At 50.3% G+C, this 14848-nt stretch overlaps 1 annotated feature.

The window, feature by feature from the left end:
• Positions 2772–3374: an enhancer, noted in NCBI's record as "NANOG hESC enhancer chr2:121332587-121333189 (GRCh37/hg19 assembly coordinates)". NCBI's record gives its function as "activates a minimal SCP1, AML or CMV promoter by ChIP-STARR-seq in naive H9 embryonic stem cells {active_cell/tissue: H9 hESC(naive)}" and the evidence as "EXISTENCE:reporter gene assay evidence [ECO:0000049][PMID:30033119]".

A 14848-nucleotide genomic window follows, 5' to 3' on the forward strand; every position in this document is an offset into this window, starting at 1 on the left:
AGTTGCAGTGTCTGCCCATTTTGGGGGGGTGGATACCCCCATGGCCAGTGTCAGGTTACCCACAAGATGTCACTGAACATGGAGCTGGAAAGAGGTGCACAGTGCTCTGGGAGCTGTGGGGAGCTGGCTCCAGTGCCCCACCCCCCAAGACAGGCCCTGTTCATCTTGGCACTTCCAGGACCCAAGAAGGGCCTGGCACGGGGCAGTGCTCAGTGCTCTCCAGCTGAATGAATGCTGAACTAATACAGGCTGATGCCAGGGACGGCCCTCCTGCAATTCCTTACACTGAGGCCCTTCTTTGTGGGAGCAAATGGTGACATAAGGAGAAGTTAGAGACCAAGGCATGGGATGCTGAACTCATTACAGCCCCTCATCAGAAAACCTCCCTCCCCAGTTAGCAGCACAGACAAGGGCAAGTCTCTGGATCCCTGGAAGGGTCCCCCTCCTTCGAGTGCTTTGACACCATCCCAGTGGCTGGAGGAAAGCACTAGAGAAACCTTCAGGCCCCCACCCCTTCCGGCAGCACATGGCACACCTCTCCTGGAGACCCTTTTGGCGTCTGCCCCACCCATTTATCCACCGCACCAAGGAGAAGGAGAGGCAGGGCTTAGGTCTGCAATTTGGGGCAACAGTAACTGGCAGAGGCCACTATAGCCTGTGTGGAGGACGCCAGGCTATGAATCATTCTCCTCATCTATTTCTCCCGGGGCACGGGGCTGCCAGTCCCTGGCCTCCTAGCAGGTGAGTCTGTGATGGACAACCCACCCCCAGCCCCTGGCAGGAGCCCCGTGGGAAGCAGCAGGCTGGGGGCAGTCCCAGGGGCATCCCCAGAGGCAGCCCTAAATGAACCTCCCCTTCTGTTCAGGTCAGACCCTGTGTGAGTGCCCTGGAGCCCCTGAGCCTGCCTGGTTACTGACCTCAGCTGACCCTGTGGGCTCCCCCTCTCTTGGGAGATTCAGGCAGGGCTCCACTGGAAAATCATTCCACTCTCCATGGCATCAACTGTGGGTGGGCTGGTCTAGAGGGTCCAGTGTGGCTTCACTGCCATGCAGGCACAGCCGGCACCTGCTCCTGGTCTCCACAATGACAGTCCCGGAGCACTTGGACTTAGGAGGCAGCTGGCTTCCCCAGAGCAAGCATCCCAAGAGAAGCAAGGGGAAGCTCAGTGACCTTTTCGGACCTATGATAAGAATGGAACATGACTTCTGGCCCCAGGTCCAAGGAAGAGGGGAATGACTCCACTTCTTGAAGGGGAATGCAGAGTGCCAATGCAGAAGAGCATGCAAAGTGGGATAGGCTGCTGTGGTCCTCTGTGAAAGTACAATCTGCCACAGACGGGGAACCCGGTTCCTTGCCTCTGGGGCAGCCTAAGGAAGAGTAGGCTTGAAGGATCTGATTCAGAAAGCATTACTAAGAAAATGCCAGGTCACAACTTTCGCATAATACGATAGTTAAGGTTATTTGAGCAACTACTGTGTGCCGGGGACTGTCCTAGGTACATGCGTGAGTAATCTCATTTCATTCCCACAATAATCATGTAAGGTAGGGACTGTTATTCTTCTCCCCAAGATGGGGAAACTGAGGCATGTTGGATGTTTGTCCCTGTAACTTCCCTAGAAGAAGCACAGGCAAGATTCAGACCCCAGCATTGGGGCCCAGGGTACAAGCACTGGTCCTTATGTTTCTTTCATGGGAAAACCACGGGGTCACACAAAGTCAACTGGCCTCCAGCACCACCAGGCTGATTGCAGTCCTGCCTGGACTGGAACGCTGGCACTGCCACCTATGAGCTGTGGCATACATCCCTTAGCCCCTTTGAGTCTCGGCTTCCTTGCCCATGAAATAAGATGCTTGTATCCACTTCCTGGGCTTTCTGGGGGATGATGTGGACTTGTGTGTAGCAGGTGTCAGGCAGGGGGCTGGCACCGAACAAATCTTAAGTCCCTTTCCTCCCCTGAACTCCAGGAAGGAAATGTGAAGACAATGCATATGACAAAACACTATTGTTCCCCAAGAGGGAGGGGACCTGGAATTCTAGTGATGCTGGGATTAAACCCAACAGAGAGCCCTCTGGAGAAGGGAAAAGGGGTGACCACTAATGTTTCCCGAATAGCTAATGTTTCCCGAGTGCCCACTGTGTGCCAGGCTGCCCATAAGGTATGTCATGTCCCTGAGCCCTCCTGACAAAGCTGCAGGGCACAAAAGTCTGAGATTTGGAGAGTGTAAGCAATGGACCCAAGTTCCAAAGCAGTCACAGCAGAAGACAGCTTTGAACCCAGCACCCTCTCATTTCCTGTGTCCCCTGCATCTTCCCTGGCTCCCAGGAGGTACTACTGAAGCACAAGTCAGTGTGCCAAGGAAAAGAGACACTTTGAATGTTACCTCTGGGTGGGGAAGTGCCTGCCTGCTGCCAATAATGCTAAGGATCTCTTGCCCTCTGGCCATTGGTGTCAGATCCAAACTCCTCCAAGCCTACAAGCCCCTGCCAGCTCTGGATCCCTCTGACCTCTCTGATCTCATTTCCTCCCACACTACCCCATCTGCCCCCTACTGCCCTTGCCAGTCACATTCCTGCCTCCAAGCTTTTGTGCCTCATCTTCCCTCAGCCCTGAACACACCGCCCACCTCAGTGTGGCCTGCCCTTCCTTCATCCAGGTGTCTGCTCTGAAGGCCCCTCCTCAGGGAGGCCTTCCCCGATCACTTCGCCACTATGGCTCCCCCAGCTTTATAGCTCCTTACTCGCCTTTTTTTTTTTTTTTTTTTTGGCTACCTAGCATGTAGCACCATCTCACTTTTTACTGCATATTAATCTACTTATTTATCGTCTGTGCTCCCCACTACAATGTGACCCCAAGGAAGGCAGGAACCTCAGTGGCACTGGTCACTGCTCTAGCCCTAGAGTTTAGCGCAGTGCTTGCACATAGTGGGTGCCCAGCAATAAATAGTCACAAGGCTGAGGCGGAAGGATCGCCTGAGCTTGGGAGATTGAGGCTACAGTGAGCCGTGATGGAACCACGGCACTCTAGCCTGGACAGAGCAATACCTTGTCTCTAAATAAATAACAGTCACAGAAACAAAGCCTGATTAACAGGACAAAGGGGAAGCCAGGGAGGCGGAGAAGCTTGTGACTTAAAGATTCACCCTGAAGGAGAATTTACTTAGGGTCCTTTTTGTTTTTAATCAGCGTTTCACTGACCTGTCTGGAAGAATGGCCAAGGCTTTGCCCACTGATTCCAGGATTTTCAGAAGCTTTTTCCTAATAAGAAAAATGTTGCCCTTCAGCTGAGTGTAACCACATTGCAGGCAGTGTCTCAGATGGGGGCAAGAGGCAGTATTTTAATAGTAGACACCTAACCCCCCTGACCTAAAGGCAGGCTGCCTCAGAGATGTGTGATCTGTGAGGTTGTACAGGGCCCCCATGCTGGGTTTAATCCTCTGTTGTCACCGTCTTAAAATTTTTCACTTTTTCACAAGGGACCTGCATTTTCACTTCACCCTGAATCCTGCAAATTATGTAGCCAGTCCTCTCCAAAGAACGAACCAGGGGTGGAGCCTCAGGCTTTCTAGATGTTGGATCTTTGTGGAGAGTGGTTCTTGTGGGTGCTGCTCACGAACACCATTTGCGTTGCCAGTTGAATTCATCTTCTGTGCACCAGGCACTGTGTTAGATGCTGAGAAGTGTAATGAATGAGGCTTGGCACCTGCCCCACAAGCTGCCAATCAAGAGAGCCTGTCAGGTAAAGAGAGAGGTGACACTGAGCTTGAAGGAATAGCAATAGAGAAGATAACAGAGAAAATAACAATGGAGGCCTGCAGTGGGCCAGGTGCTATTCAGACCATCATGCTCAGATCAACTCCAGGTCCCTGGCCCCGAGGCCCACATTCCTACCTCCCTCCATTAAGCCTCTGCAGAGACACAGAGAAGGGCCGGGAATGGGCCCAGCAACATGGTGGGTCCTGGAAGCTCTGGATCTGGACCTGGCTGGGGCCCTGGTAGGTGCCTGGGAAGTTGACAGGCCTGTCAAAGGGGCTTTGTCATCTCAGAAACCTGACCGCTTTGAGGGTAAAGGCACCCCGGAGGAATTTGGACCGAGGGTGGCCTGTGATCAGCTCTTTCGAGAGTCTTCCGTCAGCCACTGTGGCAGCACCTGGAAGAAGAAACAGAAGCAGAGCGGAAAAGGAAGGAACTCCCCAGAGCAGGAAAAGAAATTCCTTTTAAAACATCTTTTTTGCTTCCCCGTCCCTGGAATCTCCATCATTCATTGAGAGATACTATAGCCATTGATATTCATGTGACTCCTTCCATCCTTCTAACCACCCAAGAGTGTAACTCAATTTTTCAGAAAGGGAAGCAGAGAATCTCCGAGGGGGATGGAGAATGATTTGCCCAAGGTCACACCACACAGAGACACAGGATTAGGAAGGCCCAGGCCGGGACTCCCAGAGCCGCAAGGGCCTCCTCCCCCTAGCAAGGGGAAAAGCCTCAGGCAGGCCGCCTGCTCTGGGGCGTTTGCCCCGTGGGGCGTCGGAGGGAGTGGCCTGCGTCCTGGGTCCCCGAAAGACCCTGGGGAGCCCTGGCGGCCACCGAGGGGGCACGAGCTGGGCAGGAAAAGAGCCTCCAGCTCCCCAGCGCTCCACATCTGCGCGGGGGGCTCCCAGCGCCTGCAGCGGTGTCGCAGTGCGCGTTTCCGCGTCCCGGGGGCCGTGCCGAGCGGATGCTGCTGCCTGCGTGTGAACAGGGCTTGTTTTCCCTTCACGCCCTCGGGCTCCGTTTTTATGAAGCACTTCCTTCTGTTGGCGCTTTGGGAATATTCATTCTTGGCTCGCACCGCGCACGGTTGACAGTTGGGCTGGGAAATGTACCCGCGGCTTAATTAGGGCATCGCCAGACCTGCCAAGCTCCAGCTCCTCCCCTTCGCGATTGCCGCGACCCCAGGGACCCCCGGGACCCCCAGGGCATGCCCCACGCTGTGGGAGGGCGCCTCGCTGCTCCTGAGGCTGTACCATCAGTGCTCCACCCGTGTGCCCCGCCTCATAGAAACCTGTCCTGGCCAAGGCATACCTATGACCTGTCCTACAGGTAAGCAGCCCTATTGCACGCCTTTGTTCTTTCTGTTGCTCCCTCTGGAATGCCTTCCGCTGTCCTCTGGGCATAGTCAGAACTCTCCTGCCTGCAGACCACTCCAGATTCCTTCTACTCACCATCCCTAAATCTAATGTCCTGAAGCCTCACTGCTGCAGTGCCCCAAGGACTGCCCTGGACCTACCTACATGGGCCACCTGCTCTGTTTCTAGGCATCCTTACCTGGAATCCAGGAGGAGAGGCTCACCTGTAGGTTTCGTCCTGTTTTTGAGGAAGCTGAAGGTAGCATTAACAGGAAGGCTGGCTTTCCAAGCACTGCAGAGCTGAAAATGGACAGCATCCATCTACACAGCCAAGGGCAAGATCAGGGAAAACCTCGCACCCCAAAAGCCCAGAGGAACACCACGGAAGGAGGCTGGCTAGGTTGACTTTAAATGTCAAGCCAGAAAATAAATATTGAAAATTCAACTGCATGTGATATTAAAATCCCACTATAAAAAAAAAAACTAGAAAAAATATTTGCAACACATATGGCAAAGGGTGAGTTTCCTTAAATGCTAAAGCACTCCTACAGTCAGCGGAAAATCAACAACCCCAGGGGAACACGAGCAAATAGCAACAGGCCGTTCACAGAACACAGCCCCAAATGGCTTCCTCAGAAATGAGGAGATGTGCAACCTGCTGCACGATGACGGGAATGTGGAGGTGAAAAATGACATCCTGCTTTAGATTGGGTAGAGAAACACCTTCAAGAGTGTGGCTCTGTCGGGGGTACCCACCGGCTTGGATGGTGAGGGCCCAGCATGATTTCAGTGACAGCCTGCATGGCAGGGGGAGAGCCTGGGTGAGGTTTCACCACTTCCCAGTGGTGTGTCCGCCAGCAGCTTATATTCTCTGAGCCTCGGTCTTCCCATCTGTAAACGGAGGTCCTGGGAACTGGTGTTTCCTGGGAAGATGAAGGTGTGGTCGGGGAGGGAAGAATCAGGGAGTGCCACAGAGGCTGAGAGGGCCCTGGGGGAAGGACGAAGGGGTCCCAGTGGGGAAGAGTAGGGGCATGAGAGGGTGGGAGAGGAAGTCTTGGTGGGGGCAGACCCAGAATGGCGGAGGGAATGGGATGAAAATGGAGTTGGCCTTGGAGACCACATCTTCAAGATTATTTGGTGGTAGAGGAAAGGAGAGAGCCTGCAGGAGGGATGGGATACAGATGGGAAGGTGACGAGGATGAGGGACATGAGAATATCTGAAGACTGTGAAAATGGCCTAGGGTCCCAGGCCCTGGCTCTGCAGCAGCATCTCAAAGCCTGGCCCACAACGAATTCTTCAGGCTGGCCTTGTTTTATGTGACCCAATCTAGCAGAAGGCCAGGTTGTGCTTGCACAGCTGGAACGTACCCAGAGCCCAATAGAGGGATGGGCCCAACCCAGCTTCCCAGGAATCGACTGGCGATGGTGGCATTTAACTCAGATCCACGAGGACAGCAAGACCAGAGGAACAGCCCAGAGCATGACATGTGAAGGAGGAAGCAGAAACTCTGGCCGAGGAAAGGCCCAGCACCACGGCCAAGCAGCAAGGCTAATAGGAAAACTGATTCCAGGGTCAGAAGCTGGGAGGAAACCTAAAATGTGTGCTCACGAAAAGGTGCCTGACATAAAGAGGGCGTTCCACTAACATTTCACAAATGCGTAAACTGAGAGCAGACTCAAGCTCGAGCCCATGAGTGCAGCGAGGATACAGAGGTACGGTGGCTATGAGGACGGGTGCAGAGCAGGTAGCACATGTGCGGTGGAAATGTCTGCTGCAGGCCTCAGCACTCTCGAGAGTGCATGTGCAATAGGCAAGCACTCTGCTCCCCAGAGAATTGTCATCTCAAAGGGAGGAAGGCCTTCCTTCCTTCAGTTACTGGGGGCCCAGCAGCTGAATGCAGGCTCCCTGGATTCTACAAGATTGCTTTCCTTGGTGCCTTGGGGTACATGACTTTCACCGTGCTGGAAACTCTACTAACCTTGGATAAAGAGAGAGAAAGCTCCTGAGCTCATAGCTTTCAGGGTCTCAAGGAGGGGCAGCGAGGGCAGGGGAGTAAGGGAGAAACCTGGGAAGCTCTGAGCACCTGCAGACTTCCGGCTCATATCCTTCCATCGTGCCTCGGTTCTCCCAGCTCCCTGTGCAGACTTAGGTCAGATCCAGCAGAAGTATCTGATTGGTGGCTGGCCAGCCAAAGGGTAGCACCCTCCAAATCCACTCCTAGTCCAGTGGGCTCCAGACTGAGCTTGTTGGGGCGGGTCACATTTGAAGAGGAAATGGGATTCAGCAGGCCAATGAGCTAATATCTGGGTTGTCTTGGATGATCGGTGGTTGACTCCAGAGGCTGCGTGATAGAGCAACGAAGGCCTGAAACAGCCTCAGCCCACCTGGGCTCTATCTCCTCCCTCCAGAGCTGCAAAATGCAGCTCAATCTCCCTCCCAGCCCCAGGTTCTGAAATTGCAAAATGGAAATAATAATGTGTTTGTCACAGGTTGTTGTGAGAAGAAAATAAGATAATAAAGAGGATAGTGCTCTGCAAACTAGAGATGAGTTGTTTTATTTCACACTCAAGGAAGTGAAAGTCTTGAGTTTTACTTTCCATGAAATCTTGGTCCAGCTCCCAGCCGATGCTGGGCACGGGTCAGACCTTACCCCTTCATCCACAGCTTGTGAGGGAAAATGCACGTAAGTCTTTCTGCAGATGGCACCAGGCTGGACCAGCTCAGCTTCAGTTGTATCGCTGTCCCCAGAGGAAGGTGGGTTAGCCCTCTGGGTCTCACTTTCTCCATCGGCAAAAGGGGCTTGCAGAGGACTGCCTCACTCAGCTCACACACTGCTGGAGGATTACATAATCCCCTTCTCCCTGCTTGCCTTCTTTGCTCCACATTTGCTTTCTTCCCCTGCTCTCTGGGGTTTCTGTGGATGGTGGCAGCTGACAAAGAAGGAGCCCTTTGGAGCATTTCTATGCCCTCAGCAAACTCTCCCTCCTGCCAATTCCTCTGAAACCCAGGCCACCTGCCTGCACAGCCCAATGCCAGATGAGAGTGCACTTTGCGTTCATCTTTAATTGTTTCAAGTATGTCAGTAACATTTTCACAGCTGGATTCTAAACCTCAGAAGTTGTTGATGATCTCTTTTAGGAAGGTCGCAGGTGCCCTCCCTGCAGGAGCAGAGCAGGCACACGGCAGCAAGTTTGTTGAGCGAAAAAGGAACAGAGCAGATCTCAGCACAGTGCTCTTGCTGACTCGACTGGTCCTTCCTTCCAGTTCTCAGCCTCTTGACCTCAACACGTTCCTCACTGTCCCCACAGCTTCAGTTTCCCATACTTTGCATGCTTGGAACAAAGTACTCCTCTCGAGTGGGCCCACCGAGCTCCTTCCTCCTGGACCCCTTCCCACTGGTCCCTGGGATCCTGGGACACCAGCGAGGAGGGGCTGTCGCTCCTGAGCTCGCACCCAACTCTGCAGGCCCGGGTGTTATCTCTTGCAGCAGCTGACAGTGGCGCCGGCACCACTTTGGTGTCACTTTTAACACTGCGCGTTAACACCACTGGCTGACTGTCTGCGCAAGGAGGCCCCGGCAGAGCCGCGTGCAGCCACACCCCACATGTGGAGTTGTTAATCCGGCAGTTGTTCAGCAGGTTCTCTGGGCCTCACCTCCAAATGTGTTACTTCTGGAGGGAAAGACGCCCACAGAACAGCACAAGCTCTCCAGGAAGGAACGACAGAACCGGCCTGTCCTGCGTTGGCCAGGAAGAGAAGAGGAGGCATTTCTGAGCAAGGACATGCAAAGTTTTGGTGCCTGGATCTCTGCCACCTACATACAGTTCCCTAAATTAGAAGAATAAGAGGAAGGAGAGAACGAGGAAGAGGGAAATAGTGTCACCATACAACTTAAAATCTTTTCTTAAATCTGCAGCTTTATCCGTGCCACATGTTTTCGAAGAATATTTTATGATGTAATGGGAAGAGACAAAAGCAGTGAAAAAGCAAAATCACAGACGCGATGTGTCTTCGATTCTGGGAATGTGTGGGGTGGACGTAGTCACGGTGTCCCAGGTCCACTCGCCCATTGCATCCAGGCACCCTGGAAGATTTCCCTTCCTCGCCCCTTGATATCAGGATGGTTGTGTGAGTTGCTTTGGCCAGTGAAATGCGAGAGAAGTAACCTGTGTCACTTCTGGGTGATGGTGTTCAATTGCTGGTGCAACCCTTCCCAGCCCACTCTCCCCTGGCCTAAGCAGTCATGGGAATGTGTATTCATTCTGAAGGCCCAGAAGCTCAAAGGAGCCTCTATCACTGAGCCACAATATGGGAAAGAGCACCTGAGAGTCACCCAGACTCCTGTGATCTGGGTATGAGCAGAAATGAACCTCTGTGCCTTGAAACCACTGAGATTTTGGTACGGTTTTCCCTGGACTATGATCTACACTGACTGATAAAATAAGTATACAAAATAGATGGAAAAATATTATCGAGAAGCATTGCAGTGACTGGTAATTTTTGTTTTTACACTTTACCAGATTTCTCCCATTTTTTACAGTCAGCATGTTTTACTTTTATGATGTTTAAATGTTCCCGGTCTTACGCATAGCTAGCTTTTTTGAGTAAATAAATGTGTCCTTGGTACGGGGCTATGTGTTTCACTGTGTCATCTCACTTAATGCTCTGAAAACCCTAAAAGGATTTTCCCATTTTGCAAATGAGATATTTGAGTTTTAGAGAGATTAGGTGCCAGGTATTCTACACTCATTATCTCATTTATCTCTTCAGAGGCTCAAAATATTTTCTACCAATTTTAAAGGTGAGGCTTGGGGAAGTCGCCCACAGTTAGTCACTTAGGAATTGAAGAAAGTGAAATTAAAACAACTACCATCACAACAGATACCCTTTATTGGATGCTTTTATGTGCCAGGTCTAGGCATGGTCTCATTTAATCCTTTCAGTAACCCTACCATGTAGGTGCTAATATTATCCTTACCTTCTAGGTTAAAAAATGGAGGCTCAGAGAGATTGAGCAACTGGCCTAAGGCCACACAGCTAGCAATCTGTAGAGCTGGGACTGGCACCTTGGTCTGTCTAAATTTTGGTCAGCTCATTTTGCTAAGAACGAGGCTGGTACAAAAGGTGATTTTTAGGTAATACATGCAAGAAAATTTTTAAATTAAACTTCTAATTTTATAAAAAATTGTATGTTCAAAATTTTCAAAGCCAAATGGTGCCCTGAGGCTGACAATGAAATGCAGCAGTCCTGCCTTGCCTCAGAAGAAGCTACTTTAAGTCTTTTAGCTGTTCCTTCTGACATTTCCTTTCATATTTCTAAATATCGTTCTCTAGATGTATTTTTCAAATATTATGTATTGGCTTCCTCCTGTGGAAGATTGCTGGTTCTCCACCAGCCACCATCCACAAACACACACTTTTTCTTCCAAGATAGTCCTATCACAGTTGCTAAATCAACACTCAGTTGTTACCGTATCATATCTACATATAGATTATTCACAGCTAAACAAGGGACTATATTATGGTTACAGTTGCAGTCTTGTACAGCTTTTTGTTTTCCCTGGAGTTAGTAAGTACCTCAGTTTTTAAATTTAATTAGTTTTTGATGTAAGATTACTAATTCTTCCCACAAACCGTGACAATAAAACTCTAAAATTTCTCGTAATATAGTCAAACACATCTGGCAACCTATCAGTTCTGTTTTTTTTCTTTGAGCCCTCCTGCTTCTACCTGGATCAGTTGCTCTCCTGGCCATTGTAGTAGAAGTTGTGAAATTTCTCTTCAACGTTACACTGGGAATTCCCTTTCCCTCTGTCCTGTGTCGGTGCCTTGTTTCTTAGATACTAAGTCATCTTCTTTCTTGCTTTACTCCCTTCATTTTGTTGTAATATACACGCCAGTAGCTTCCTTGGAGGCTGCATATGGGAGTTCAGTTTTTGGATAATTGATTGACAGTTTGGCTGGAGGTATAAATCTCAGTTGGAAATCATCTCCCCTCAGAGTTCTGAAGGCAGTTCTCTATTGGCATGTGGTGTTCTAGGTTGATGTTAAGCAGTCCGATGCCATTCTGATTCTCGATCCTCATGGTGTGACTTTTTCAGTCTCCAAAAGCTTCTAGGATTGTCTGCTTATCTTTTGTTTCTAAAAAAAATTTTCATAACACTTAATACTTATTCTGAAAAAAATGCTTTCAATAAGTTAGACTAGATGGATAATTCCATAAATTAGCATTTATCTATTTTAGCCCAGTCATCTATTTTATATCTAGAATAAGCCAGGGGGCAGATACTTTCCACACTGTCATCACCATCGCCACTACTCTGGAGGATTAGCCAATGCTCCAGGAAAGAGGTATCCGCTTGGAGAGGAGGAGGTAATTTATCCGTGTTTGAAGATTATTTGACCATTTACATGGAAAACCCACAAGAATCAACTGAAAAAGTTATTGAAAATGACTAATTGTGTAAGGTAGCTGGATTCAAAATTAGCGTTCTATTATCAATGGCCTTCAAATACACAGACAACAATCAGAACTAAAATATAATGGATATAAGACTCCATTTGCAAAAGCAACCTAGAAATAAACTTCTTAAAAAATGTGCAAAACCATTTAAATGCTGCCAAAGGATACAAATGTGAACTTACAGCACATTCTTGGGTTAAAAATCTCAACATTATAAGGATGCCAGTTCTCCTAAATTAAGCTACACATCAACACAATCGCAGTGAAAATACTAACAGAATTTCTTGTGGAACTATACCAGCTGATTTTAAAGTTGATATGGAAAAATATACATGCATCCAGGAAAAGTTTGAAAACAGAAATGTAAAAAGCAGAGATAACCCCATCCATTATTTACTTGTATTTTAAATCTATTATAAAGCTAAAACAATTAAAACTATGGCACAAGTACATGAATAGCCATATAATTCAGAAATTACTAGAAGTCATCCAATATATATAGGAAGTTACCATATGATCAAGTTGGCACTTAAAACAGGATTTATCCATATTTGGTATTGGAACAATTGGCTACCCATCTGTAGAAGAAATTAATTTAGATCCTCACTTCACATGTTATACCAAAATAAATTCTACATGAATCAAAGGTTTAAATGAAATTCTTAAAGAACCAGAAGAAAATAGGGGATATGGGAATGACTATCTATTGAGCCTTTACTTCAGCTCAAGGCCTGGTGACAGTAAGCAGGCCCAGCTCATGGACTGTGGGCTGAATAATGGATTGATTGACTATCAGGTCCTTTACTAGATGCTGTAGCAGTGGCTGCCAATTGCACGCACTGGTCTAGATTTGCTACATGTCTTAGTCCATTTTTATTGCTATAAAAGAACACCAGAGGCCGGACGCGGTGGCTCATGCCTGTGATCCCAGCACTTTGGGAGGCCAAGGTGGGCAGATCACGAGGTCAGGAGATCAAGACTACCATGGCTAACATGGTGAAACCCCATCTCTACTAAAAATACAAACAATTAGCTGGGTGTGGTGGTGCGCGCCTGTGGTCCCAGCTACTCGGTAGGCTGAGGCAGGAGAATTACTTGATGCCACTGGGAGGCAGAGGCTGCAGTGAGCCGAGACTGCGCCACTGCACTCCAGCCTGGGAGACAGAGCGAAACTCCGTTTCAAAAAAAAAAAAAAAAACAACAAAAAACAAAAATTAGCTGGGCATGGTGGCACGTGCCTGTAGTCCCAGCTACTCGGGAGGCTGAGGGAGGAGAATCTCTTGAACCCGGGAAGTGGAGGTTGCAGTGAGCCGAGATTGCACCACTGCACTCCAGCCTGGTGACAGTGCAAGACTCCATCTCAAAAAAAAAGAATACCAGCGGCTGGGTAATTTACAAGAAAAAAGAGTTTCTTTGGCTCACAATTCTACTGGCTAGAAGATTGGGCATCTGCATCTGGGGAAGGCCTCATGCTGCTTCCACTCATGGCAGAAGGCGAAGGGGAGCCATGCGTGCAGAGATCACATGGGGAGAGAGGAGGCTAGAAAGATGGGGGAGGGAGGTGCTTGCTGGACCCTTTTGAACAACCAGCTCTCACAGAAGCTAATAGAATGAGAACTCACACTGCTCCCCCGGCTGCCATCCCCCAATCTTCTGAGAGGGAGGGCATTAATCTATTCATAAGAGATCTGCCCCCGTGACCCAAATACCTTTCACTGGGGATCAATTTTCAACATGAGATATGCAGGCTGGGGGCGGCAGGGGAGATGCAAACAACCCAACTCTCACTACATGTCATTTGTCTGGTTCTACCAGTGTTAAAATAGTTTTTATTTTGGTCTGATATTTTACAAGGGAGTTTTCACATCAAAATCTGGATTTCGGGCCTCCCCTGAAAACGTATACCAATCTGGCAGCACTAGACCCTTATTCCTTCATGGACCAAGCAGCTGAGCCACTGCCCTTTAAAGGCCTGAGGATGGGACATATGGTCTGGGAGTCCTGAGGAGCCAACAGGACCCAGTGAACAGGCAGGTAATGGGAGCAGTGGCTGGTGGGCCCAGAGCCCTAGGGTAGGGGGTGAGGGGATGAGGCTGCAGCTGTGGCAGGGTGGGGCAGTTCCTGGGCTGCTGTTGTCACCCAGGCGAGAAGTCGTGGCAGAGGGAATGCGAGGGAGAGGCCTGGCTGGAGGGAATTTGGGACTTGAATCCACAGCCCACAGGGCTTGAGGACAGATGATGTGTGTGTGTGTGTGTGTGTGTGTGTGTGTGTGTGTGTGTGTGTGTGTTGGGGTGTGCAGGGGAGCCTAGCTGTTGGAGGAGGAGGTGAGGAAACACCCCAAGATGCTCACATAGAGAGGTAACTGCTCATGAACACGTAGACCAGATCCAGTCACCCTCCTGCTTAAAACCCAAGCACCCTACCTGAGAGGCCCGGCCCCTGCCCACCCCTTACCCGAGAGGCTGGGCCCCTGCCCACCTGGGTGATCCTTTGCTCTCACTCTGTGCTCCCTTGTACTCCAAGCCACGCAGCCCTTGGGCCATCCTAGAACCAGCCAAGGGCTTTTTTTTGGCCTCAGGGCCCTTGCACTCACTGTTCCCTCTGCCTGAGACACTGTTCCCCTGACTCCTTAGCTGGCCAGTTCCCTCCTCATCCTTCAGGTTTCCTCTTAAATATGCTCTCCTAAAAGAGGTCTGGAATAAGCTCCTAGAGGCCAAGGGACAGCAGGAATGCTGACTCCCACGGGGTCCCCGGGCCCATGGAAAGAGGAGTAGATTTCTGAGTGCAAAGGGAAACCTTTGAAGGGCTGGCGTGGGGGGTGGGGCGATGAAGCAGCTGGGTCTGATTTACCCCCTGAAAGCCTGCCAGTAGCACCCGCATGGGAAACCACAGGGCCGGAGTGGCCACTGGGGAGAGTTGGAGCCCTTGTGCTGGTGACAGGCGCAGAGGTAGTGCAAATGGAGAGAGGACATGGGGTATTCTGGAACCCACAGGACTTGCGGAAATGCGGGAAGGAGTGGGGTGAGAGCCATAGGCAACAGGAAAGAGTCAAGCGGGGTGGCGCTGTTTCCAGCCCCAGCAGGGGGTAGGAGGTGGTGCCAGTTTCCTACGGTGGAAACCCAAGGAAGGCACGAAGCAGGTGTGCTTTGGAAGGAACAGTTCTGGCGCAGCGCCTCTTCCTGTCGGCCCCCTTCTACAGTGCGCCTGGACACAGGGTGACGGCGCAGAGCTGCGCGGGCATCCCCAGCTCCGTGGCTCCGGCTCAGGTCGGCTGAGAG

This window comes from Homo sapiens, chromosome 2 (assembly GCF_000001405.40).
Source record: "Homo sapiens chromosome 2, GRCh38.p14 Primary Assembly".
In the NCBI taxonomy this organism is placed as follows: domain Eukaryota; kingdom Metazoa; phylum Chordata; class Mammalia; order Primates; family Hominidae; genus Homo; species Homo sapiens.